This window comes from Homo sapiens, chromosome 17 (genome assembly GCF_000001405.40).
Source record: "Homo sapiens chromosome 17, GRCh38.p14 Primary Assembly".
Classification (NCBI taxonomy): domain Eukaryota; kingdom Metazoa; phylum Chordata; class Mammalia; order Primates; family Hominidae; genus Homo; species Homo sapiens.
This window is the reverse complement of record NC_000017.11, coordinates 72,378,839-72,404,964: the sequence shown is the minus strand read 5'-3', so window position 1 is coordinate 72,404,964 and position 26,126 is coordinate 72,378,839. Positions and strand designations below refer to the sequence as shown.

At 48.1% G+C, this 26,126-nt stretch overlaps 1 long non-coding RNA gene across 5 annotated transcripts in view, besides 7 other annotated features; it reads left to right on the top strand.

Annotated features, from left to right (window-relative positions):
• Nucleotides 1–1,643, top strand: part of LINC00673 (long intergenic non-protein coding RNA 673) — a 189,483-nt gene extending 187,840 nt beyond the window's left edge. For all 5 annotated transcript variants that reach the window (NR_152515.1, NR_137280.2, NR_152516.1 and 2 more), the window contains one exon: nucleotides 149–1,643. This is a non-coding gene — a long non-coding RNA (long intergenic non-protein coding RNA 673). The remainder of the gene's footprint in view (nucleotides 1–148) is intronic.
• Nucleotides 4,403–4,697: an enhancer, noted in NCBI's record as "tiled region #2052; HepG2 Activating DNase matched - State 1:Tss". NCBI's record gives its function as "activates a minimal TATA promoter and a strong SV40 promoter by Sharpr-MPRA in HepG2 cells {active_cell/tissue: HepG2}" and the evidence as "EXISTENCE:reporter gene assay evidence [ECO:0000049][PMID:27701403]".
• Nucleotides 12,263–12,312: an enhancer, noted in NCBI's record as "active region_12669". NCBI's record gives its function as "activates an Ori minimal core promoter by ATAC-STARR-seq in GM12878 lymphoblastoid cells {active_cell/tissue: GM12878}" and the evidence as "EXISTENCE:reporter gene assay evidence [ECO:0000049][PMID:35858748]".
• Nucleotides 17,308–17,807: an enhancer, noted in NCBI's record as "H3K4me1 hESC enhancer chr17:70383299-70383798 (GRCh37/hg19 assembly coordinates)". NCBI's record gives its function as "activates a minimal SCP1, AML or CMV promoter by ChIP-STARR-seq in primed H9 embryonic stem cells {active_cell/tissue: H9 hESC(primed)}" and the evidence as "EXISTENCE:reporter gene assay evidence [ECO:0000049][PMID:30033119]".
• Nucleotides 17,808–18,309: an enhancer, noted in NCBI's record as "H3K4me1 hESC enhancer chr17:70382797-70383298 (GRCh37/hg19 assembly coordinates)". NCBI's record gives its function as "activates a minimal SCP1, AML or CMV promoter by ChIP-STARR-seq in primed H9 embryonic stem cells {active_cell/tissue: H9 hESC(primed)}" and the evidence as "EXISTENCE:reporter gene assay evidence [ECO:0000049][PMID:30033119]".
• Nucleotides 22,883–23,177: a silencer, noted in NCBI's record as "tiled region #1101; HepG2 Repressive non-DNase unmatched - State 17:Gen3'". NCBI's record gives its function as "represses a minimal TATA promoter and a strong SV40 promoter by Sharpr-MPRA in HepG2 cells {active_cell/tissue: HepG2}" and the evidence as "EXISTENCE:reporter gene assay evidence [ECO:0000049][PMID:27701403]".
• Nucleotides 23,973–24,022: a silencer, noted in NCBI's record as "silent region_8914". NCBI's record gives its function as "represses an Ori minimal core promoter by ATAC-STARR-seq in GM12878 lymphoblastoid cells {active_cell/tissue: GM12878}" and the evidence as "EXISTENCE:reporter gene assay evidence [ECO:0000049][PMID:35858748]".
• Nucleotides 25,536–26,112: an enhancer, noted in NCBI's record as "H3K27ac-H3K4me1 hESC enhancer chr17:70374994-70375570 (GRCh37/hg19 assembly coordinates)". NCBI's record gives its function as "activates a minimal SCP1, AML or CMV promoter by ChIP-STARR-seq in primed H9 embryonic stem cells {active_cell/tissue: H9 hESC(primed)}" and the evidence as "EXISTENCE:reporter gene assay evidence [ECO:0000049][PMID:30033119]".

Sequence of the window (26,126 nt, the reverse complement as noted above, 5' to 3'; positions counted from 1 at the left end):
CCCCCGACACTTAACTAAAATACTGCTTTTTGAAGTATATGTTCTGTTCAACAGCTAAAGCATTATAAACCAAAGACAGTAATGTGATGCTAGCCCCTGAAAGGGCAGAAGCTAGAATCTAATTCTCATGCTGTTTTTTGGTCTACAGGATGGGAAGGACTGATCCACATTCCCACCAGGAAGTTTAGCAGAACCCCCGCGTGCCACCTGGACCCCTTGGAAGGACCTGGCTCAGGCTGGACCACCTCTTGAGAGGCAGGAGCTCTGGATTTGATCAAGAATTCTTTGCTGAGCATGGTGCCTCATGCCTATAATCCCAACACTTTGGGAGGCCAGTGTGGGAGGATCTCTTGAGCCCAGGAGTTCAAGACTAGCCTGGGCAACACAGAGAGACCCCATCTCTAAAATAATAATAATAATAAAATAAAAAATTAGCAGGGCATGGTGGCATGTGCCTGTAGTCCCAGCTACCCAGGAGGCTGAGGCAAGAGGATGGCTGGAGCCTGGGATGTTGAGGCTGCAATGAACTGTGATTACCCCACTGCACTCCAGCCTGGGCAAAAGAGCGAGAGACCCTGTCTCAAATAATAATAATAATAATAATCTTATTTTGGAGAATAAAGAGACCTCTGGATTTGAGGTGCCATTTGGGTAGAAAGAAAAGACGTTTACACCGAGAAATAGTCTGTGTTGCCCTGAAGGAGCAGAGGGATGCATCGCTGGAGGTGACCTACAGTTGAAGAAGACTCATTATGACAGACCTTGTCCTTCTTCCTTGTGGAAAGTGTTTCCTCTGCTGCTACTGCTCATGAGACTCTTCCCCCTCCCTGTCCCAGGGAACCAAAGGGCTTTCTACCACACCCTTTCTTGCCCCCCGCCTCCCATGTCTGCTGTGCCTTTGTACTCAGCAATTCTTGTTTGCTCCATTATCTTCCAGCCGGATACAGAGTGAATAGTTAACCACACTTAGGTCAAATAGGATCTAAATTTTTGTTCCTGCTCCGTGTAAAGAGGCCAGTGTTTGTGTGTTGCAAGCAGCCTTGGAATAGTAACTCTTCTCATTTGTTTGGGATCTGGCCACCAAGTTCCAGAATGATACACGGATCAGTGCAGAAGTTCATCAGGCTCTCGGACCTTAGGGCTGTTGGAGAAGGCTTCAGCAGCAGAACTGATGGTGAAGGCTCGTGTTCTCCATCCTCAACTTTCTTTGCTTCGATCATACACAAGAATACATTTGGAAGGGCAAAAAATGAACACTGTCGTTCATTGCAGCCGTGTTTTGTGACACAGATGCACAGTCTGCTGTGAAGACCTTCTCTCAAGTGGCATTTGGGAGTCCATGCCAGATCATGGTGCTTCATGAGAGACTGACAGCTATCAGGGGTTGTGGCACTTAGTGAGGACTCTCCTCCCCCAGTGTGTGCTGATGACACATACACACCTGACAATAGCTTGAGTCTTCTCTGTTCCTTTTACTCTGTAGCCAACATACACATGATTTAAAACCCTTTCTAAATATCTATCATGGTTCATCCTTGTCCAAATGCAGAGTCAGAGCTATTTGTACTTCATTATTATTTCCAAGGCGAATAGTTGGCTTTCTTTTTGCAAAAATAATTAAAGTTTTTGTATGTTGCAGTTGCTGTGCTTGTATGACCATTTAGTGAATTTGGTGTCTTCTAAATAGAACAGTGGAGTCCTTGTGGACATCTCAGATTCATCACAAAATGATTGAGGAGAACCTCTTGAAGATGTTTAGAGCTATTGAAATTTACAGATTGTTGATGGGTTTTCACCTTTTCCTTCCTTTCTTGACACACAGTTACAGGCATTGTATTCCTTGGATTCCTACAGGTGTCAAGGAACAGAGATCCACTTACGTTACCTTCATAAATCCTGGTTTATTCAAAAGTCACAGTAAGGTAGACAGGAAATAGTCCCAGCCACTGCCTAGCTAAGCCTTTTCAAAAAGCCCAAGGTCATTCAGCAGATGCAGAAGCACTAGTTGGTTTTCAAAGATAACAAGAGCAATACCATCATGGTCGTTTTGATCCTCTGTTCAGCAGCAGGGTTCGCTGCCCCTGACTTTAGAATTCTGCCATCGTGATGAGCTGAAGGTCACCAACGGTCCCAGTTTGCCCAGGACTAAAGGGTTTCTTGGGATGAAGGACATTCAGTGCTAAACCTGGGACAGTCCTGGGCAAACTGGGAAAACTGGTCACCCTCCTGGGTGACTCAACGACCATGCCTCTACTTTGTTACTTACTATTAACTGACTGATGCTGTTGACTGGTTTAGCCAATCTGCATTCAGAGCTTTTGCGTCTGGTTACTTCGTTGGCCTTCAGGCAGCCACAGATGGATGCTATTGGATCAGGCACCAATGCTGACCAAATCAATTGTTTCCAGGATGGTAGGGTTGTATGAAGAACCAACTGAGACCATGTCCTTCTGAGTGTTGTGGATGGTGGGCATGGCAGGCCTTCAAGGTATCAGGGATTCCTCTCCAATACAGCCTTACTTACAAAGGAGAAACTAACTTTCTCATGAAAAACAAAACAGTTCATTAAGAAACAAAACTAACACAGCCACTGGGAACTGAGGAAGAGAGACTGTAACATGTGTGCAAGCACACACACACACACACACATGCATACACATGCTGTCTGTAGAATCATGAGCCAGGATTCCAAATCTGCATCTTTGCTAGACAGAGATCAAGAACTAAAACCTTTGGGATGGTGTTGTCTGGGAAGCAAAGGAGTTGGCTAGAGGACTTCCTGAAATTCCTTTAAACTCTAGAATCCTTTAAAATATCAAGGGTGTGTAAACTGGGGCTAAGTATGTACATTCTCTCTAAAGGCTCCTAGATAACCTTTGAGTTCAATTCAGTGTGGAGTGGGGCCTCCCAGCTTATACTTACCTTTCTAGACACTGACTTTTATCTGGGATGAGGGAGCAGAATTTGGAGGTGGTAGTCAGGGCGGGGGTAGGGAGGGGAGTGGGTAAGGGATAGTTGCACCAGCCCAACTTTTTTGGTCTTAAGAACAACCTGAACGCAAATTACAGGGTCTTTTGTGGACTAGAAAAAGCCAGGTTTTCAGGATCACGTGGCGTCCTGAAGTTGTTGCTGCTTGTCAGGGCATCTGACCTCCATCTTCTCTGCTGAAAGACAGGCATGAGTGTTTGCAGTGCCGGAACAGGGGCCTTCAGATAATTTCATTCATCTGGCATGGCAAGACCACAGGGAGGGAATTACATGCTAGGGTAGAGATGAACTTATGGACGTATCATGCACCTTGGTGTTTGCCCCTGTAGTGATTCTCACTACCTTCGCTACCATTGGAGGGATGCTCACCCACCTCCTTGGGTGCCATTTTTCTTTTTTAAAAGATGAAGGCATTTCAGATGATCCCTTCATTTATGTTCTACTTTCATTCTTTGGTTTCAAAAGAAGTCCTGATCTTATGTCAAAGGCAACAATCTCTTCTCTCAATCTCTCTCTCTCTCTCACTCTCTCTCTCTGGCTCACTCTGTCACCCAGGTTGGAGTACAGTGGCATGATCTCAGCTCACTGCAGCCTCGACTTCCTGGGCTCAAGAAATCCTCCTGTCTCTGCCTTCCGAGTAGCTGTGATCACAGTTGTATGCCATCATGCCCAGGTAATTTTTTTTATTTTTATTTTTTTGTAGAGACAGGGTCTCACCATCTTGCCCAGGCTCGTCTTGAACTCCTGGGCTCAAGCAATCCTCCTGCCTTGGCCTCCTGAAGTATGTGAGCCAATGCGCCTGGCCCTCTCTTTTCTTATCTCCTTATCCATATGCAATCACAGAACCTGAGAGGCTGAAGTGGTCTAAAGCATCACTCTTCTCTAGATTTATCTCTGACTAATGCAGGAATCCCCTTTCAAATCAGGCAAGGGATCGTTCAGCCCAGGGGAGAGAGGACTATGAGAGAGGCTGAGTGATACCCAGCCTGATGGGGAAGCAGTTGAATTTTAAAGAGTGTTTCATACACTATCAGGTGGCCATGAATGTCAATTTCTTAATGAGATTTTGTGCTAAATGCTTTTTGCCCTCTTCCCCATGTTTGTTCTGGTTTAAAAAAAAAAAAAAAAGCACAGTGCAGGGAGGCAGAGAGACCTAAGTTTTTGTCTCAGAAAGCTCCTCATCATCTTAATTCCTTCCGTATAAAATGAGGGGTTTGGGCCACACGATCCCTGGAGCCTCTTCTATTAATAGTTCTGACATCCACGATGCTGGCATATTTGATGGATAAGCTATCAGCCTTCTAGGAGTCCATGTCTTAAAGTTTTGCTGGGGTTTTAGGTCTCATGTTAGAATAGTACGTTAGACATTGTCCAAGGTGCAATGTAAAGTGATTTCATCTTGCCTTAATTTCATTATGAACATAACTATTTCAAATTAGCTCCCCGACACCGCCCCCACCCCCCAATTTTGTTCAGCCTCGCCTGTGAGATTTTCCATGGCATTGGAACTTGATCCACAGGAGAACTTTGATCCTCTTCAAGCGGCCCTGGAAACCCATGTGGGAAAATATTAGTCATGTTGACAGGAGAGATAGGAGGTTCTCGTGGTGAAACAAGTCCCTCTGCTCAGGAGGCTGCAGTTTAAAGGATTTCAAGGTGACCTTGGAAGTGGTCACTGACCTTGGATAAGACCCTTATATGCCAGGCTGGTGGAGAACAGGTGGAGGGAGGCCTGAAGACAGCCCTAAACTGAGGGGTCTGGAAACCTGATCACCGGCCCTGCCCTTGGCTTCAACTAAGTCCGGGTCACATGTGAGTCACTCTAGCCTTTTCTCTGGGTCTCAGTTTTCTCATCTATAAAAGGGACAGAGAAGGGGCAGGGGTTGGTCTTGACGATTCTCTGAGGTTCCTGCCATGCATCAAGTTCTCAGCCTTGCCTGGCCCAGCTGGTTCCTGACAAGCAGTAGCCCTTTCTCCCTTTGCCTTTGGCTGTGCAAGTCAAAAACAGGGCTGTCCGGGAAGTCCATTACCAAAGAATACTTCAAAGCTGTTTGCACGCATTGTCAGTTGCACTGAACATGAGTTTGTTGAGGGAGAAGGTAAATAGACATACAGGCTGATGACAGGAGGGGTGGAAGGGGGACCACTATTTACCCCCAGGGTGGCTGGGAGGGGAAAAAAAAAGAAACCCTGCCTGCCGTTTTGACCAATAAATAAAAACTGGGAGCTCTGCGTGGCTAAAACCATAGGGGATTTATTAGTTTGCTTAGTGAAAGGCAAATATTAAGTCTTAAGTTGACCCGTCCTGGGACCTGCCTTTTGGCTTTTGTATGCCGTGCGGCACCGATCACTGGGCCCTCGGGTTATCGAGTTCTGTTGGAGTTTTTTTTTTTTTTTTAATTGTTTTCCATCTCCGTCTTTTCTTCCTCTTTCACCTGCCCCCTTCCCACTATGTCCCGCCTTTTTCGGTAACTTAGGTCTGGGTTTTGGAGGGGTGAGAAGGGCAAGGGTGAAAAACATGTTCTGCTTGTAGAACTGTCTATGCCCAGGGCTCTGGCCAGCCCAGGAATTGCCGATGCCCGGGATGTGGTGGCTCAGGGTAGTGACTCCAGCAGGTGGTCCTCCTGGGTCCCTTCCATCCTCTCTCCTGGACTATTAATGTTAGGTCCCAGGTGTAAGGCAAAGGCCTTGTCCCTCACGAAAATGAGCATAATGACAAGCATTGGAAAAGAACAGAGCACGCCTATTTCTAAGTTTTAACTTTCCTATCCCATCTGAGTCTTCATACCCAGCAGATGATTTCAGCCTGAAAGAGGAACTGTTCAAGGTGGGGCTGTGTCCATTAGGGTCTGACCAGGGCTTGTGACTCACCATGGAGTGAAATATCGGGACAAGAGGGGCTGGATGGCCACCGAGTCTATTCAGTTTTCAAGTAGGAGATGCAGTGAAACTAAACTAGATGGAGCATTGTTTATCCTTTGCTTTAAACATCCACAGTGTAATCCAGGCTATTCTAAAACATTGCAGTTTGTGGGTGCTACGGTCTCATGGGTGGTGCTTGCTAACAGCCACCCACTGTCATGTACAGCACAGCAGGACACACTGCTCCATGCCAGACCCTAAGTGCCCATTTCCTGGTCCACCCCAGTGACTGTCCAGGATGCATCTTTTTTTTTTTTTTCTTTTGAGACAGAGTCTTGCACCGTTGCCCAGGCTGGAGTGCAGTGGCGCAATCTCGGCTCACTGCAAGCTCTGCCTCCTGGGTTCACGCCATTCTCCTGCCTCAGCCTCCCGAGTAGCTGGGACTACAGGCACCTGCCACCACACCCGGCTAATTTTTTGTACTTTTAGTAGAGACGGGGTTTCATCGTGTTAGCCAGGATGGTCTTGATCTCCTGACCTCGTGATCCACCCACCTCGGCCTCCCAAAGTGCTGGGATTACAGGCGTGAGCCACTGCGCCAGCCCAGGATGCATCTTATTAATCTACGTGGGGCACTATGGCTTCCCAAATCACTACTCACATTCTAGAACTGCTTACTTCAGAAAGTTTCTTGCACATTCCAGTAATTATTTTTTTTTTTTTTTGAGATGGGGGTCTCACTATGTTGCCCAGGCTGGTCTTGAACTCCTCCACTCAAGCAATCCTCCCACCTCAGCCTCCCAAAGTGCTGGGATTACAGGTGTGAGCCACCATGCTTGGCCCAGTAATGATTTTTTATTGAATTCAGCACGATCGTTAATCCTTTGGCAATTCTTCACAGAGGAGTATTTTTTAAAGGATAGACATCGGGCATCCAGGGTACTGAAATCCTACGAATGCTTCGAGGCTCATCTCAAATGCTTCCTTCTCTCAGAAGCCGTCCTGGATTTCTCCTTCCCTCTCAACCAGTTGTGACCTCTCCCTCACATATTCTGACATAGGTACTCAAAAAAATGTCAGTCTTCCTTCCTTGACCATAGCACTTTAGTATCTCATTTACTGCACTTACAATGGACTTGTTTTGGCACCCTCTTCTCTCCCAACTCTCTTTCTCTCTCTTTTATAAGAATAGGGACTGAGTCATTGTTTACTCATTGAAATTTATCGTTGAAATGCTCCCAAACGTCCATGGTCACATGGGAAGCACTGTGATGGGCATTTCATATACTTCTCATTTAATCATCGGCAAACAAGACTTTACAGTAATCAATTGCTTTGACCAAGTCTTTTATGTGAACTTTGAGATTCAAAACCAGGGTCATGGACAATCTGAAATTCAGAGCTTGTGAAGTTGCAGCATGATGGCTTTTACATGGTAGGATGTACAAAAATGATGTTGAGTTGACTTTTCCTATTACCAACCTGTTATTGTGTGTACCACCAAATTTGCCTTTTTTTTTTTTTTTTTGCTTGCTCAGGAGTAATCAATAAAGTGTTTTCCACTTTGGGAGGCCAAGACAGGAGGATCACTTAAGCCCAGGAGTTTCAGACCAGCCCGGGCAACATAGGGAGACCCCCATCTCTACAAAATTAAAAAAACAAAAACAAAAACAAACATAGCCAAGTGTGGTGGTGCATGCCTGTAGTCCCAGCTACTTGGGAGGCTGAGGTGAGAGAATCGGTTGAACCTGGGAGGTCAAGGCTGCAGTGAACTGTGATTGAGTCACTGCACTCCAGCCTGGGTGACAGAGTAAAACCCTGACTCAAAAAATCAATAAAGAAAGAAAGTGTTTTCCAAACAGCAGAGAAATTTTGTTTGTTGCCTGATTGGTTGGTTTCCATGTAGAAACTCTTCCTGAAAATAGAATTATGTCTGATTTTTGCCAGTTACCCCATGAGCTAGTTTCATTTTTAGGGTGGGAAATAAAAATATCAGTTCAAAAGTTTAGATCAAAATTTCTAGGGTTTCGTTCACCCTGTCTAATAAGGAGAACTTAAAAAAAAAAGGATCTTCCCATTAATATCCAAATAATTTCACTCTGTCTAATAGGGAGAACTACAGAAAAAACAAAAGGGACCTGCCCATTAATATCCAACCTCACAGGTAGAGACCTTCGGTGTTAATAGGCAGATCCCTTGCCATGAGAACTGGACCTAGGTTCAAGGTCTTACCACCTGAGGACCAAAGGCCAAGGGAGAAAAGGCACCACTCAGGGGCAAGCAGGCCCTGGGAGGAAAAGTCTGTCTCCCTTGACTCCTGATTTCTCCTCCTGGGGGTTTGTGGGGGTGGGGGTGGGGGTGGTGGTATGGGGGTGTGTGGAGCAGATAAAGGAGGATTGAAGAGAACTGACATGTAGGGCAGAAGCTTTGCCTGTTTGGGAGACGAGAGACACTGAAAGCTCACCCCATTCTTAATTCATACACACCAATAAAATAAGAGTTTGGACCAAGAGGTTGTCATCTGTGAACCACAGTCACTAGGCACGGCTTCAGACATGAGAGAAATGATATAACATTCAGCCAAGAAAGATCAGGCCATTCAGGAAATAATGAAGTTCAGTGGTTTTATGGGACTTTCCAGTTTTCAAGCTCTTTGTAAATCTTCTCCTTGGAATCTCGCAGTGGCTTTGGGAGAAGGATAGAGACCTTGTTTTGTGGGCTGAGGGAGGTGTACTGACTTGCTGTAGAGACCACCCATAGGCCCCTGTCCCTAAGGGCAGTGTTGTGGTTCTCTATGTATCAGTCACCAAAGGCCGCTGCAACAAAACACCTCCATATATCAGTTCCTTCACTTGACAAGTTTTTCTCATTTACACATTAGTTAAATGTGACTTAGCAATAGTAGGGACCGGAGGCTCTTTTTCATGCAGAAATTCAGGGACCCAGGTTCCCTCTGTTTTAGGATATCACTACCTTCAGAGGCATCCTCTTCTACCAGTGAACACAGAGAAAGTGCTGTGAGAGGACATGCACCTGTTTGACCATCTTGGCCTGGAAGAAACACCCATCGCTTCTGCTCACTTTCCATTGGCAGGAATTGATCCCAAGGCTCCACTTGGATGCAAGAGAGCTGGGAAATGTCCAACTCCATGGAAGGAGGGGGTGGAGAACAGGAGTGCTGGGGAGGACTTGCAGCTCCTGCCATGCAAACTGAACCCCCTGTGGGGCTACTGAGGTGCAGCTTATTGGCCTCTGTTGTGGCCATTGAGGCCCGTGGGTCTGGCCTTCTGGATGCCCCATTGTCACAGGCCTGGGTGTGCAGGCTTAGTGCTTTTCTACTACCAGGCTCAGAGAGTTGAGGACTTCTGCCCAGGCTTACTGGCTCTCAAAGGGAAGCAGGATGGAGTCATGGTGGAGGACGACAGCTCTGGCCCAGAGTGCCTGGGCCTGAGCTTCTTCACCAGCCCCTAGCCGTGTAACCTTGAGTGAGTGACTAAGCCCCTCTGTGCCTCAGTTTCCTTCCTTTAAACTGCTTCCTTGGGTGATTGCAAAGTTTGGCCGAGATATTACAGGTGCAGCTCCTAGGGCGGAGCCAGGAGCACAGCGCCCAAGCAGTGTGGCGTCGGAGCTCTCTCTATACTCTGAACATGGCGCCATCAGGGCCCGTCTGCCATAACTCTGCCTCAGATGATCTCTATGCCCAGATGGGAAGAGGAAACGTCAAATGTGAACTTCTGCCATTGCGTCTCTGTTGTCCGGCTGTGGGAAGGTGTCGCTGACTCTTGCTGGCCGTGGCGGTTTTATTTGGGATTGGGGACAGAGCTGAGCTGCAGACACTGGCACTCAATGGTCTCTCCTTCTGGTCACCATGCACACCACATCAGTCTCACGTGACTTTAACATCAGTCAGGCGTTTTCCTAAAGGCCAAGTTCTCTCCAGAATCTGTCAGTTTCACCTACCGACTGCAGAGACCCTGCAAAACACTCATGAGACATATACATTGGGTGCATGAAGCCCTTCCTGTTTCTCCCTCTACTGGGGCAGAGAGAGAGCTGATTCCAAGCCTCGGGGGAGCTCAGGAGGCAGAGAACCTTCTCCCCGTTTCCACACCTAGATTTCAAATCACACCCTTCCCTGCATACTGCAGAGGCCAGCAAGGCCCCCTTCCAGACCCCCTGGCCTGGGCCTCGGCTCTTGTAATTGTAGGACCTGAGTGGCCCAGGATCCTGGCACCAGCTCCGCCTGTTTGGTCTTTGGCTCTCCTGGCACTGCCAGAGAATGGAAAAGCTGGTCTGTTTACAGGACATGGGGCCAGAAGCGCATTAAAAAATAAGGAGCAAATAAAATGTCATAAACAAATTTCCTTTCCAGTAAGGAACGTTCCTTTCCCTGTCCTCCAACAGGAACCATTTTTTCTCCAGTGTTTGGATAAACTTCCATCCTGTGTAATTACCATTCCCAGGGAGGGGCTGCCTATTTCCGCTGGCTATTTATTTTGATTTTGATCATTCCTCCCTCTTCTGAGTATAACACACTTAATAGTAAAGGAAATATGTTTCCTATTGGCGCATGGGGCACAGCTCTTTCCTTCCCTCCCGTGTCTTCTTCCCACTACCCCTCACCTTCCAACTTCCCATGAGCCTGTGGACACAGAGCCCCAGGTGCGCTGGCTGGGGGTTGCTCCCCTCCAGCGTGCAGGAGAGTTCGGAGCATTGGTTGACTGAGAACCAAGGGGCAAAGTGGTGAAGCAGAAGGGAGAAATTGTTTCCAATAAAAGGTGGCACAGATCCAGAGGGGTTGTATGTGGGTGACCATCTCTCTGTGGAGGGTCGAGGGGGGCAGTCTTCAGCCTGACCCCCTGTGTGAGTTTTTGTGTGAGCAGAAAGCCACTGATCTAACGTTTCCTGACCCCAGCAGGTAGCTTATTGTAAAACAGTTCATCCAGAGGGGGAAAAATACCTTGTTTCAGCATTTAAGTTTTCTTCTTGCTCTGAAACAGACTGGAGAGGAAGGGAATAGAGAAGAACGGATATTTCCTAGCTCAGAAGTGCATGACAGGAGGCAAAAAACAAAGCCGAAAAACCGTCTTTGAACAAGTGTTATTCTTGTTTATGAATGGATTGTATAATCCAGGATTCCTGTTTACACACTTTAAGCTATCTCTCCAGTCCCCTCCTTCCCCTCTTCCCTCTATTTTCTTTCTGTGTTGGGATGGCGAAGGAAGGAGGTATACCCCATAGTTAATTTCACTTTCTAAACTCCTTGCCTCTGCCTGGTTGGGTGAACGGATATCCTGGAGGTGCTGACCTCAGAGAGGCCATGAAGAGCAGGGTGGTACTGACTCATTGACTGGTCATACAATCAGTTTGGCTTCAGATTCCTTATGCTTTAACTCAGTGGAGGCCCCAGGAAGTGGGGATGGAGAGGGGGGACTCATGACTTCCCCTTGAGTCCTCCCACCTCTGCTTGCCTACCTCCTCCCTTCCAGATTGCCACCCCTCCACCCTTCTTCCAAAGATGGTCCAGGGCTGTCACAGGGCCAGCTGGCCTAGGCTTGGTACCTGGGTTGAGTTGGTGTCATGGTGGTAAGAGAAACCACCAGTCACTCTCCCCTTTGGGAGCCCTGTCTTTTGAGGACTGAAGGATAGGATGCTTATTCCAGAGGGTGTGAGAACCTCATTAATAAACCTGGCTGGCATTGGAATGATTCTTGATGTGTGTGTTAATGGGTGAAATGCACAGAACCAGGTGTGTGCCATGGCTGATTCCAAAAAGCTGCTGCTGGCTCTGCACCTGGTGGGTATGAGCTTTGGGTAGACTTTTCCAGAATCAAGGAGGAATGTCAAGGGACCCACCCCCAGACTGATGCTCAGGCCCCCTTGAGAGCAACAGGAGACTCTAACTTAAAAATTATAACCCAACACTCTAATCCTGTGAGAGAGAGCTGGTGGTCCTAGTTCTCAGACCTCGGTCTTGGGAATGCTGCGGTCCAGTTGGGTTAATTGAGCCATCCAGTCTCACCAGGCAAGTTATTGGAGAACTCTGACTGCTGCAGAACTTTAAGTCCTCACCTGGAATAGGATCCCCTAGATGCCTGTAAGGGCAGATGCAAGGAGAGGAGACCAGAGAAGGCATCTGGGATGCCTGGGAGGGAGGAAGGCTCCAGCCCGGGCAAAATGCTGCAGAAGCAAAATCCATTTGTGGTAGCTTTGTGCACTCAGTCAAGGTCGGGTGCTCCCGGGTCAAAAATGCTTTGAGTAAGAGGCACTGGGGGTGGACCAGCCTCCATGTGAGACGCTGGGCTCTCCAGGGAGGGGAAGACTTCATCCGGGCTGCGGCCCCATGCTCAGTTCCGCTCTATTTAGAACACTTTTTTTTTTTTTGTAGAAAGCAGATCGCTGGGGAGGAACGCATCAGGGCAGCTGAGGGAAGCCGATTCTACTGCAGCTTTCTGAATCGTGGGTTGGGGAGATGGAGAGGGAAAGGAAAGGGCTTTGAGCAAGACAGACCAGGTAGGCTGGTGTCACCTTTCCCTGTCTCTCCACTGCCCATAACCATCCCCCACGTCCCCACCAGCTCTGCTCAGCAGCCCATCTCTGGGGAAAACTTAAATGGGGCAAGGTAGAAGCAACTGAAACCATTTTTACTTGTTCAAGGTGAGATAGGCAACTGAGATTTTAAATTCCACAAGTCCACCCAATAAAAATCCCCGGCGCAGTGAACACCTGCCGCCATAGTGTGCATTGTTGAGTGAGACTCGGGACACAGCAGGTCAGGCTTCCTGGGTGCACAGTGGCATACGATTGTCCTGATTCCTAGACAGCACAGTGGTGTGTGTCAGTGAAGACAGCATAGGATGTGGTTGATGCTTTGCTTACAGGATTTGGGTAATCTTTACCCTCCTCCACCAAAGGGATAGCATTGCTAAATACAGATTAGGTCACTGCAAACTCTGTAAGCCAAGACCGTTGTGGGTGGTCAGAGGATTTCTGGAAACAGTGTCTTTTACAACTCTTCCCTATGTTAGCCTTTGTCTTGCAAGAGGAATTTGAAGTCTGAGGAGTGGCTTCCACTTGCCCTATGTCAGGCTCACTCTGGAGCTCGTGGGACAGGTGGCTGTGTCTCCTGGACCCCAGTTGGCATCCTGGATGTCTCTTCTCCTCCTTAAAATGCACCATAGTCAATGGCCCCTCTGGACAAGGCAACTTTGAGACCAATGGAAGCAGCCAGAGAGCTGTGTACTTGCACATTGACGAGCTCTGTTTTTCTGGCCCTCCTAACAAATAAGATCCTGGTAGTGTTGGTCCAGGGGCCAGTGGATGGCTTCCTGCTGGGGTCCTTTTTGTGCACAGCCATTAGTGACCTGTACATGCTCAAATGCATGAGATGCCGCATTGCTTTCCAGCTGGCTGGCTGTCTAGCCCTTCTGAGCCCCTACAGAGAGCCCATGGATGCCTTTCCAGCTCAGGATTAGACCCTTCCTAGATGCCTTTCTAATGCTCAGAGGAAGGAGATGGGATAGCATCTCAATTCCAGCCCCACCTTGTGTTGGTTGTGTGATTTAAGGCTGTTTACTTCATATCTCTGCATCTCAGCATCCTCCTATATAATTTGAAGATTGTAGTAGTACTGACCTCACTGGTTTTCTTTTCTTTTTTTGTGGGAGAGGGAGGTATGCATTAATATATGTAGCTCTCAGAGCACAGGACCTGAGTCATACATCCAGCTCATGTGTTAGCTATTGCTAGTGTTACTATCTCCCTGATAAACATTCCCCTAACCTTCCCCAGGTAGAAGTAATCACCCTTACTCCTGGGGAAGCACTTCCTACATATCTTTTATAGAATGGGTCCTGATATGGTTTGGTTGTGTCCTCACCCAAATCTCATCTTGAATTGTAGTTCCTGTGGGAGGGACCCGGTGGGAAGTGATTGCATCTTGGGGGCGATTTCCCCCATGCTGTTCTCATGCTAGTGAGTGAGTTATCACAAGATCTGATGGTTTTATAAGCCTATGGCATTTCCCCTGCTGGCTCTCATTCTCTCTCCTGCCACCCTGTGAAGAGGTGCTTTCTGCCATGATTGTAAGTTTCCTGAGGCCTCCCCAGCCATATGGAACTGTGAGTCAATTAAACCTGTTTTCTTCATAAATTACCCAGTCTCGAGTATTTCTTCATAGCAGCATGAGAACAGACTAATACAGGTCCCATGGAATTCCAAATAGTGACACAGTTAAGAGTCAAATTGTAGGGTTAGGCAGGTCTGAGTTTAATTCTGACTCCTTTGCTCTTGCCCTTGTGATCTAAGTCTGTTTCTTCACTTATAAAGTGAAGACAATGAGAGCAACACCCACTGCCCCAGGTTGTGAGGCCCAGGGCTGTTCTTACTTCTCACTGGCATTCTGTACCTAGGTCAGAATCTGAAAGAACATTTGTTGAACTATTGAGTTGACTCAGTCAAGTGTTCCTCCCTCCTTCAGTAGACAAATCCTCCATTGAATAAAACCCCATCATGTTATAGCTCACTCCATGGAGGTTCCTGGCTAGCCTATCTGGATTGCGGTGGGCCTTGAAGGCTTTCTTGGCTGGCAATAATTGCTTTAATGACCGACGGCCTTAGTAGACATCTACAGGTTTCGGCCTCTGTTTTCGTGGTAAGAAGGCTCAGGGCCAGGCATGGTGGCTCACGCCTGTAATCCCAGTACTTTGGGAGGCTGAGGCAGGTGGATCGTCTGAGCTCAGGAGTTCAAGACCAGCCTGGGCAACATAACAAACCCCATCTCTACTAAAAAAATTACAAAAATTAGCCTGGCCTTGGTGGCACATGCCTGTAGTCCAAGCTACTTGGGAGGCTGAGGTGGGAGGATCGCTTGAGTCCGGGAGACTGGGGTTACAGTGAGCTGAGATTGTTCCATTGAACTCCAGCCTGGGCAACAGAGTGAGAGTCTGTCTCAAAAAAAAAAAAAAAAAAAAAAAAAGAAAAAAAGAAAAAAAGAGAAGGCTCTTGTATTTATTTCTGATTCTTATTGGAGTCGTTTAAGGAGGACCATTGAGAAGACCTCTCCCATAAAAGCCAAAATGCCAGCTCTTCTGTGCAATCCTGTGCGTATGGTCTTGCTCTCAGTGCAGTCCCAAGCAGAAACCCACTGGACTTGGAATTGGAAATCTGAGCTGAGTATTGGCTTTGTCCATGTGGTAGACAGAATAATGGTCCCCAAAGATACCCATGTCCTGCTCCCTGGAATCCATGAACATGTAATCAAGTTAAGTTTCTTGAGACAGGGAGATAATTCTTGGTTAAGCCCAGGGTAATTTCAACAGTCCCTTTAAGAGAGAGGCAGGAGAGTCAGAGATTTGTAGATGCTGTAGTCCTGGCTTTGAAGATGGTGGAAGGGGCCATGAGGCCAGGAATGCAGGTGGCCTTTAGAAAAAGCTGGAAAAGGCAGGGACACGGATCGTCCTCTAGAGCCTATGTAAGAGTACAGCCCTGCTGATGCCTTGATTTTGACTCACTGAGACCGATTTTGAAATTCTAATCTCCAGAATTGAAGATAATAGGTTTGTCCTGATTTAAGCTGCTAAGTTTATGGCCATTTGTTGCAGCAGTAAGAGGAAACTCATCCGGACCCAAACAGCTAGCCACTGTAGACTTTCTTTTCACCTCTCTGGTCTTCTGTTCTTCAGTGATACGAAGAGAGAGGATGAGGACAACTGCAAAGGGTACATTCTAGCTGAGTCATCGTACAATCAGGGCTGCGGTTTACATAATGCCCACAGGTGCCAGGCCAGATGGGGTGAGTGGGGGTTGAAATCCATCCCCAGGGGTTACGATACTAGACTTGTGGCCTCACACGGGGCTGCAGCTTCCAGGCAGATATGGTGTTTCCTGCTGTCTCTCCACTCCCCCTGCAGGAAGGCACCTCTACTCACCCATCCTGCACCCACAGAGCCATACATGCCAAAGGTGGGCATGGGGGCTCTGGCACATCCTTTCATTGTTTTCTCCCCGACTGCCAGGAGTGCAGAGCGGCCAGAGGCCCTGGAGGGGGAAAACAGGCTACAGTGAGAAGTGCCGCAGAATGACAAATTCTAGGCCTGCAGTACAGATGCTGAATTAGCCTCAAATTTTGCTTAGGCCAAGCCCTAAGTCATGGTAAGCCATCTCTCACTGAGAGGAGCTATGCCCCATATTATAAACCAGTGGTTCTCAAGTGGGGGTGATTTTGTCCCCCTACTCCCATCCAGCGGTTGTTTGCATGTCTGGAGACATTTTTGGTTGTCCCAGCTAGGGGCAAGTGTCCTACCGGCATCTGGTAGGTAAAGGACAGGGATGCCATTAAAAATCCTACAGTGGCCAGGTGTGGCGGCTCAGGCCTGTAATCCCACGACTTTGGGAGGCTGTGGCAGGTGGATCACTTGAGCCCAGGAGTTCAAAATCAGTCTGGGCAACGTGGCGAGACCCCATCTCCACGAAAAATACAAAAAAATTAGCCGGGTGTGGTGGCATGCACCTGTAGTCCCTGCTACTTGGGAGGTTGAGGTGGGAGGATGGCTTGAGCCTGGGAGGTTGAGGCTGCAGTGAACTCTGATCACACCACTGCACTCCAGCCTGGGTGACAGAGTGAGACCCTGTCTCAAAAAAAAAAAAAAAAAGCAACTTAGAATGCACAAGGCAAGCCCCCACAACTGTCTGGATCCAGCCTTCAAAGTTGGTAGTGCTAAGGTTGAGAAATTGTGTCTTAAACCTCTGCTGCAGCATTGAACCAAGTCCGAACCCTAATCCCCCCACCTTCTCCCCAACACTTTATTTACCAAAAGGTAAGGGGGGATCTGTTATTTTTTCCAAGTACGTTTCTCCCTGTATCTTATCAATAACCACCAAGTTCAGCACACCCTTGATTAGTCACTTCCATTAACAGTGTTTATTTTGGGGTTTGTGTTTATTTTTGAAACGTGGTCTCCTTTTTCCTCCTCACTTCCTTACACACTTAGGGGGATGGGGCCAGCTTTCTAGTATAATCTAGTTCACACTTTCCTTGCTCATCTATAAACTGACTAGGCCAACCCTTGAGAACATCTCTTCTCCTTCCTTTCCTTCATAGGAAGCTGTCCACAGCTCTGAAGCAGACCATTGTCATCTTCTTCCTTATGCTTTAAAATCCTTTTTAGGATTTTAAAATATCCTAAATAATATAGCAGCAACTCCGTTGACCAACTGACTCGTGACAAAGCAGCGACTTTATTCCTAGCTTTCCACGTTCCATGAAACAAAGACATTTCAGTGGTTCTCGCCACTGAACCAGAGACAAGGAGATTTTTGGACTTGTGGGTCTCCCTCTCCCACTTCTCTCCACCCCTCCCCTTCTCACTGCAGGAGTGAGAACTGCAGAGTCTCGGAACTACATTTAAGCGTTTCTGACTCATCAAATAACTGATCCCTGTTCCTCTCCACCCACCAAATGGTTCTTAGCTCTCCCTCCCTGGCCAGAGGAATTTAAAGGCTTATGGTTGAGTAACTGGGAGTTACAGAGAATCTCCGCGCATGTTTCAAAGATTTTCATCTTTCTTTCTTTTTTTTTTTTTTTTTTTTGAGACAGACTCTCACTCTGTCACCCAGGCTGGAGTGCAGTGGTGCGATCTCGGCTCAATGCAACCTCTGCCTCCCAGGCTCAAGTGATTCTCCTGCCTCAGCCCCCTGAGTAGCTGGGATTACGGATGCCGACCACCATGCCTGGCTAATTTTTGTATTTTTGGTAGAGACAGGGTTTCACCGTGTTGGCCAGGCTGGTCTCAAACTCCTGACCTCAAGTGATCCACCTGCCTCTGCCTTCCAAAGTGCTGGGATTACAGGCATGAGCCACCATGCTGGGCCAGATCTTCATCTTTGATTGGACACCATCCATCCCTCTGCCTCCTCTTTCCTGAATTCCAGTGACGGCAAACTCTCCCCTCACCTATGCTGTCCCTCTATGTGGCCCTGTGCATAGCAGTGGCCCAAGGATGCTCTGTGGCAGGCCAGTGGCATAGGAGGCCCAGGAGTCCCCCTCCCCCCATCCTCCTTCCTGGGCCATTTATTTGAGTACCACCAGGGAGTGGGTTACTTTGGGGTATTTATTTGTTTAAACATGGGTGGCTCCTGAAAGGAGGGTGTCGGGTTTCAAGGTTAGAGGCCCCATGCAAACAGAGAGTGGGTGGCCTGCAAAATAGTGAGCAAGGTTGGAAGTGAGGAGCCCATGTGTCTTTTCATGTTTGTAGGTGGAAATGCTGATGTATGACACTATTTGTGACCCAGCTGTCTCTATCTATGACATAGAGCGACTTGGGGCTTGTGTGTGTTCAGACTCTGAGACAGCCCTCTCCTAGACTGTTGGAAGAGAGCATTTGGAAGTGGTTAGGCAATTCTTTAGGGGCAGTAACTCCTATTAATTTATCCCATGAGCGTTGGCGGCTATCCAAGTACCTTGGGGAGGAGCAGAAGAATACAGACTGAATTGGTACTAACTGCAGCCCCACCTCAGGGATTCTGGAAGAGTCCTAAAAAGCTGGGTGCAGGCTGGGCACAATGGCTCACTCCTGTAATTCCAGCACTTTGGGAGGTCAAGGAGGGAGGATTGCTTGACGCCAGGAGTTTGAGACCAGCCTGGGCAACATAGTGAGACCCCATCTCTAAAAAAATAATTAGTTGGGCATGGTGGTCTGCACCTGTAGGCCCAGCTACTCAGGAGGCTGAGGCTTCAGTGAGTCATGATTGCATCACTGCACTCCAGCCTGGGAGACAGAGCAAGAACTTGTCTCAAAAAAAAAAAAAAAAAAAAAAATCTGGGTGCAGTAGTGGAATGGTCAGCCTCTTTCTCAAAAGATCTTGAATTGTTGATCACAATGAGTGATCCTGCCTTGTGTCCTAGGGCCAGCCTCCTTTTTGGGTTGACCTAGCCAGAAAAATATCTCTTATTAGAGTTCACATCAGCCCTGACAGGGCTTGGATTTTTGTATTAGACAGGTGCTTGTCAAAAGAAAACCCAAGACGGAGGGAAAGCCAGATGTGTAGGTGAAATTGCTGCACCCTGACCGATGATATGCCAAAATTCAGAAGCAAAGATGATATAGCATCCTGTCTCTCAGGCCCCTTTAAGGCTGTTGGCTGCAGAATTGATAACTACAGTGGGAGACTCAGCTTAGTCTCTACAAAGGGAACATGGAAAGACTGTAGAGTGTTTTGCCTGGAGATATTTCTTTGGAGGAAAAACACCAGGGAAGGTTTAGGAGACATGGCTAAAGACACTTAATGCCATTGTTAACTAAATACTAAGAGATAGAATACAGACAGTGGTGAGTGACTGTTCTCTAATGTCTTAGCTACTGTCCCCTCAGGACAGAGAGATTGTCACTAGATTAATAACTCCTGAATGCCCAAGGTAGGATGTTGGGTTCACAGCCCAGGAATCAATTACAGACCTTGTTAAAAATTAATGATGTGCACACTGAAGTGTTTAGAGATGAAGTGTCCTAATGCCTGCAATTTACTTTGACATGCGTTGAAAAAATGAGTTGGATTGATGGATAGATAAACGGAGGATAAACGCATAGATTTGTGATAAAGTACATGTAGCAAAATCTTGACAATCACAGGATCTGGGTGGTAAGTATGTGGGTACAACATTTCTGTATGTCTGAAATTTTTCAAATAAAACGTTGGGGAAAAGTACCAATCCCTGGGCTACCCAACAATGATTTTGATTCAGTGAGTTGGTGATGAAGTCTAGAAATTATTTTATTTTACTTTTTCTTTTGTCTTATTTTTTGAGATAGCATCTTGCTCTGTTGCCCAGGCTGGAGTGCAGTGGCGTGATCATGGCTCACTGCAGCCTCAACTTCTTGGCCTCTAGCGATCCTCCCACCTCAGCCTCCTCAGTAGCTGGGACTACAGGCAGGTGCCACTACACCTGGCTAATTAAATTTTTTTTTTTTTTTTTTACAGACCAGATTTCGCCATATTGCTCAGGATGGTCTTGAACTCCTGGGCTCAAGTGATCCGCCTGCCTTGGCCTCCCAGAATGCCAGGATTACAGATGTGAGCCACTGTGCCTGGCCTGAAGTCTAGTAATTTTTAAAACTTTGCATGTTATTCTGCTCATGAGCCAAGTTCGGGTGCCTGTGGAACAGCTATATTCCTCAAACTAGATATGCACCCCAGTCCCTGGGGATTCTGTCAAAAGGCAGATTCACATTCAGCAGGTCTAGGGTGGGGGGCCTGACATTCGGCACGTCTCACAAGCTCCCAGGCGATGCTGATGGTGCTGGTCCCTGGACGCCCTCTTGAGTAGTAAGGAACAAAAGGACTCTCCCCTGTTCTTTTCAGCTACGTAGCCCAGTGGTTCTCCACTTAGGCTTCACACTGGAATCATCCAGGGAGTTTTAAACTATAGTGATGCCTGGCGGTGTCTTACTCGCAGAGCTTCTGGTTTGATTGGTCTAGGTTGCAGCCTGGGCAAGGAGATTTAAAAACTTCTCAGATGGGCCAGGCATGGTGGCTCAAGCCTGTAATCCCAGCACTTTGGGAGGCAGAGGTGGGCGGATCACGAGGTCAGGAGATCGAGACCATCCTGGCTAGCACGGCGAAACCCTGTCTCTACTAAAAATACAAAAAATTAGCTGGGTGTGGTGGCGTGTGCCTGTGGTCCCAGCTGCTCGGGAGGCTGAGGCAGAAGAATGGCCTGAACCCGGGAGGCGGAGCTTGCAGACAGCCGATCGTGCCACTGCACTCCAGCCTGGGCGACAGAGCGAGACTCCGTCTCAAAAAAAAAAAAAAAAAAAGGTTCTCAGATGATTCTAATATGCAACCACTGACTTAATAGCATGCAGTGAATCTGTGGAATATTAAATTGTAGGAAATAAATTTTTGCACAGAAAGACACTGCCAGCCCTCATTACTCAGGTGTGCAGGAGCTTTCCAGTAACAATAGCAGTAACTAACAGTGAAAGGCTCAAAATTACCTCCCCTCAATTCTACTTAATTCTCCTCATAATGAGAATGATTAACAGCCAGCATTTATTGAGTGTCAAGCACTTTACATTCATTAGATCATTTAATCATCACAGTAACCTGGTGAGGCAGGCATTATTATCCTATTTTACAGATGAGGAAATTGAGCTTGATTGAGTTAAGTGACTTGCCCAAGATGACAGCAGTAATAAGTCTTGGACAGAGATTGGAACTGGGTTTGCCTGACTTCAAAGCCCATATCCTTGAACCATTATATCATTCTGTTGTCTTCATGATCTACGCCAGGGGTTGGTAAAATATAGCCCATAAGCCAAATCTGAACAGCTGTCTGTTTTTATAAATAAAGTTTCGTGGGAACACAGCTATAACCATTGATTTATGTATGGTCTGTGGCTCCGTTCATGCAACGGGCAGAGCTGCATAGTGGCAACAGAGATGGTCCACAGCGCCTGAAATATTTACTCTCTGGTCCTTTACAGAAACAGCTTGATGGATTGCTGAGGCAGAGTGCACCGAGCAAGGGTTCAGTCCTCCATAGAGCTCAGAGCAAAAGGAATGACCCAGCCGGGATGAACTTGAACCTATGGCCACCTAGCTCTGGTTTCTGCTTGGACATTTTATTTCAATCTTATGGCCTGCCTTGCGCTCCAAGGGTTACTTATTTCCTCTGCACATATTTTATTTTGATGCCAAAATTTCAGATCTGTTTTCTTAAGAGCAGAAGGTCTTGACCTCAAAGCCCGGGCCATCACACAGCTCTCTGTGGAGTGGGGTGAGGGAGGCCAGCTGCCGGTCACCTTCTGCTCCAGCACCGTGGGAGGCCTGAGTGGCAAAGCTCCAGCCCCGCTGCTCCCGGGCGGTGTCCGCAACAAGAGGCTTCCGCCCCATCCCACCAGCCATCCACGGAGACGCCCTCCCCAGAGGTCAGGAGGGTAGCGGGGGAAGGAAATGCCAATCAATCCATCAAAGCCCCGCCCTCCCGGGGCTCCTAGGCCCCGGGAGCTGCGTCTGCGCATCCTTGACCCACTCCTGGGGGCCAGGAGCTGGGCGAGCCGGGGAAGTGCATTTGGTAATGATTCTCGATTTCCTGTTTGGTTTCTGTCCAGGGGGCTTTGGGATAGGCTAACTCGTATTATATGTGTACACATGCACATTTCATTCCTCCTTGTCTGTTTTTTTTTTTTCCTTTGCTACTTTTCCTCCTCTATGGCTTGTGTTTTTTGTTGTTGTTGTTAATTGGTGTGGCACAGTAGTGGAGCGAGTTCCCAGCCTCCTTTGGCGAAATGTGTAGAAAAGTGGAGGCAAGAGGTAGGAAGAGGCCTGGAGGCTCTGTCTGGACTCCTGGGATTTGGCCTGTCGGCCAGGGAGATTCTCTCCCAAGACATGGATCATGATAAAGCTGTAAAGAATCTATTTAGGTAAGCAAACATTTATTTAGTGCTTACTGTCTGCATGGGATACAAAGGCACGAAAAAAAGCTCAGTCTTGCCTTCTAAGAGGTGAAAGAGAGAGAAGAAGAGGGGCAAGGAAAGAGAGGATGTCAAAGTAGTTTGGTAAATGCGATGGCAGAAATAGGCTCGGATAGAGATGGGGGGACATTGTGTGGTCACATAACCTTTGGTTCAGCTCTCTCTTCCATGCAGGACCCAGCCTTAGTTATCCAAGATGTTGAGGGCACCTCTCACCAAAATAACAATCCAAGAAATAAACCCAGGCATCACTGCCAAGCCCCTCCCCACCCCCTCAACACACCATCCTGCTGCCTGTGTCTCCAGCCTTATGTGGTCTGGCAAGGTTGGGCTACTTCCGGCAGCCACCGTTTGCTCCCTAGGATGCAATCTTAGCCTCCATGGGGCTGGCCTGCTGGAATCTGGGACCACGTGAGCCTATGAGCCTCAGGGAGGCTGGGATGCCAGGGAGGAGCCAGCACTCCTGGAGGCTCTGTGATCTGCTCTGGCCACATTAAATAAAGGCTTTGATCCCTCCAATGGGGAGAAGGGAGAGCTCTCCCTTTTCAGCACCTTCTAATATCCTTCCCCCTTGCTGTGCCCGGCCCCACTGTCACCTCACCGAGGAGGAGACAGGATGTGTTTCCAGCGGGGCCTTTTTTCTTCCCGATTTAGACTGGGAGTGAATGAAGCTCATTAAACTGATTGTGGTTGTAGCCACATGGCTCAGGTTTCACCTGAAAGCATCAGGTGGTGGTGGGGAGGGGAGGACAAAAGAGGGGAGGACAGCCAGAAGGCCCTCATTGCACCTCCCCTTACCCCTTGCTCAGCTGGTGGCTTGCACCTGCAGACCCTGGAGCCCAGGCTGAGGTGGGTTGTGGTGGAGCCGGGTTAGGGTCTCAGCTTGGCCTGCTCCACGTGATTCCATTGCTTCTGAAGATCCCCCACCAGACCAAGCTGCCTGCATTATTCAGCCGTCGCCTCTGAGTTTTGAAGCTGGGGGAATGGGGAGGGTATTGCGATCTTTTTATCATCTTCCTTTCCCTCCTATTCTCTCTCACCTGTTGTTCCAAGAACTAGGTGGTTAAAAACAACAACAACGACAAAAAACTCCAGCAAGATGATGTGATGCTGGTGTTTTTGATTGGTGCACGAACTCCCCACCTGAAGCTTTTTTAGAGTTGATAAAAGCTGGGCAGCCTGAACCCTCTGAACCAAGGGGAAGGTAGAAAAATAAACGGAGGGCCAGGTGCGGTGGCTCACACTTGTAATCCCAGCACTTTGGGAGGCCAAGGCGGGCAGATCACTTGAGGTTGAGAGTTTGAGACCAGCCTGACCAACATGGGGAAACCCTGTTTCTACTAAAAATACAAAATTAGCCGGGTGTGGTGGCACGTGCCTGTAATCCCAGCTACTTGGGAGGCTGAGGCAGGAGAATCGCTTGAACCCAGGTGGCAGAGGTTGCAGTGAGCCAAAATCGCGCCATTGCACTCTAGCCTGGGCAACAAGAGTGAAACTCTGTCTCAAAAAAAAAATAAAATAAAATAAACAGAGTTCTCCTGTGATGAAAAGCAATGCCAAGTTAGAACTTGGAGCACATCATGGAGGCTTTTGACCCTCTCCTCTGACCCCCAGCCTGACAGCACTTCCCCAGACCAATGGCTGCTGGTGATCTCCTGCCAATGCACGAAGGAGCCATGCTATAGGTGCACTGGGCTCTGTAGCTAGAGAGAGTCCAGCAAAGCTGGGCACAGAGAATCTTCTGAAAGTGCTGGGGTTTCCCCCAGAAATGAAAGGCTCTCAGAAATGATTTCTCATTGCTTTCCAATCCATCAGCTTATTATCTCTGAATTTTCCATCACACACAGTCTCTTTCTCTGCCTCAATCTTGTACAGAAGGATGCTGGATTTTATCATTTTGCCAGGTGGAGGTTTTTTTTTTTTTTTTGAAATGCGAATAATTGCCTCCCAGTTTATCTCTGGAAAGTTCATGTATATGGATGTGTGTATGTATATATACTTTTTGCACTTATATACACAGAATGTGTCAAGAATTTTACAAAGGAGTAAGACCCCAACATAAAATAGCTGCCCCCCGCCCCCACCACTTCATGCATACTCAGTAGTTGGTAGGGTGGCCACCTTGTCCCGTTCACCTGGGACTGCCTGACATTAAACCTGAAAGTCCTGGGAACCCGTCCGACCTAGACAAATGGGGAAGACTTGTTACCCTAAAGCTAGGCATTTTAAGTCCATTATTTCAAGCCTTCATGATGACACTGTAAATTAGATGATACTTTTATAGATAAGGAAACAGATGTTGAATGAGTTGCTGAAGGTCACGTGGAATCAGTGGCTAAGTCTTGTACTTAGGCCAAATTCTAAGAACATGTGTTTTCCATCAGAACACCTCAGACCTTGCACATACAAATAGGAAAAGCTCTCCTGAAGGCCCCAAACAACCGACAGTGGCTACCTGAGGTTGGAAATCATCAGTTTTCAAAAGGGACGGGGAGGCTAGGAAGAGAATGTTCCTAAATGTCATCTCCTGGCTGGGCTTAGGCAGCTCAGAGATCTCCAGCTTTGGGTTCTGAGGGGGCCTTGCCTCCGGTCCAGTTAACCTTCCACATGGAACGCTCACCTGGTACACCTGAAACTTCTGGTGTACTGGGTCTGGTGTTTCTAGGCCTCTCTCTGCTATTAGACTCCCTAAGGTAGTTCCAGAGGAAATGAGACTGGGGATGTGGGAATTTGCCAAGAACTACCCCCGGAAGCTTGGAGACTGGATTCTTCTTCCTCCTGTCCCTTCCCCCCTCACCCCATCCTCTTCTCCCCCAGTGGTTTCCAAACAGGTTCTCCTCGCCCGTCTGCCAAACATGCTCGGGGCTGCTGAGACAAGCAGAAAGATGGAGAACTAATTACTGTTTTCTCTTTCGCAGGCCCTGTAGCTCTGCCAGACCGGGATTCCCATTCCGTAGAGACCCCAATCCCGTGCTGGTGCCTGGAGGTGTCCCAGGCACAGATTCCATCTTGCTCATTATCATGGGCCTACTTCCAAAACGTTTTCACTCCCCCAGCTCTCCTGCCTCTCCCGCCATGCACACCTCTTGTGCTTTCTATTCCACCTTGCTTCGAGGCCACCTAGAAAAAGGGATGGTTGGGTTTGACCTGCGGCTCTGAACGGCCAGAGTTGAACTGATAGGAAACCAGGCCGGGCCATTTCCACCCATGAAGCCGGGAGAGCGGGGGCCCTCTTGGGAGAGTTCTGTTTTAAAAAGAAAAGGATCACAGAGGTCTGGGGTTTGAACTCCCTGGAGGACAGAGGGCCATCTACTCAGTGTTTCACGGGATAAGTAGCAATTACAGAGAACAGGACAGCCGGCAGGAATCACCCTGGGGAGCGTTTTCCCTGGCTGCTGAGTCCCATTCTGAGAGCAGAGCACAGCTCTCACCCATGCAGCTGGGTACATGGGTCTCCAGCACCCCCTATCCCAGCCCCACTCAGCCCCCATCCTGCTGTTCCCATTGAAATAATCACAGGGTAGGCCCAGCCTGGCTGCGTTGCCAAGACAACTGCTCTAATTTCTTCTAATCCCAGTGTTCCTTCCTAAAGGGACCTCCCCCAGCCCTCACTCCCCCCTGCAACGTGTTTTAATTGTAATAACTCCTGGGTTTTCGGGAGGTAATGACCATGTGTGGGGAGCCGGCGCTGGCCTGGCTCCATCCCTGAAGTTGCTCGCCCAGCGGCGCCAGGCAGCCCTCCGGCCCCCAGCAGGAGTCCTCCAGGAGCCCAGGGCAGGCATAGGCAGGGTCTGCCGAGGGGGT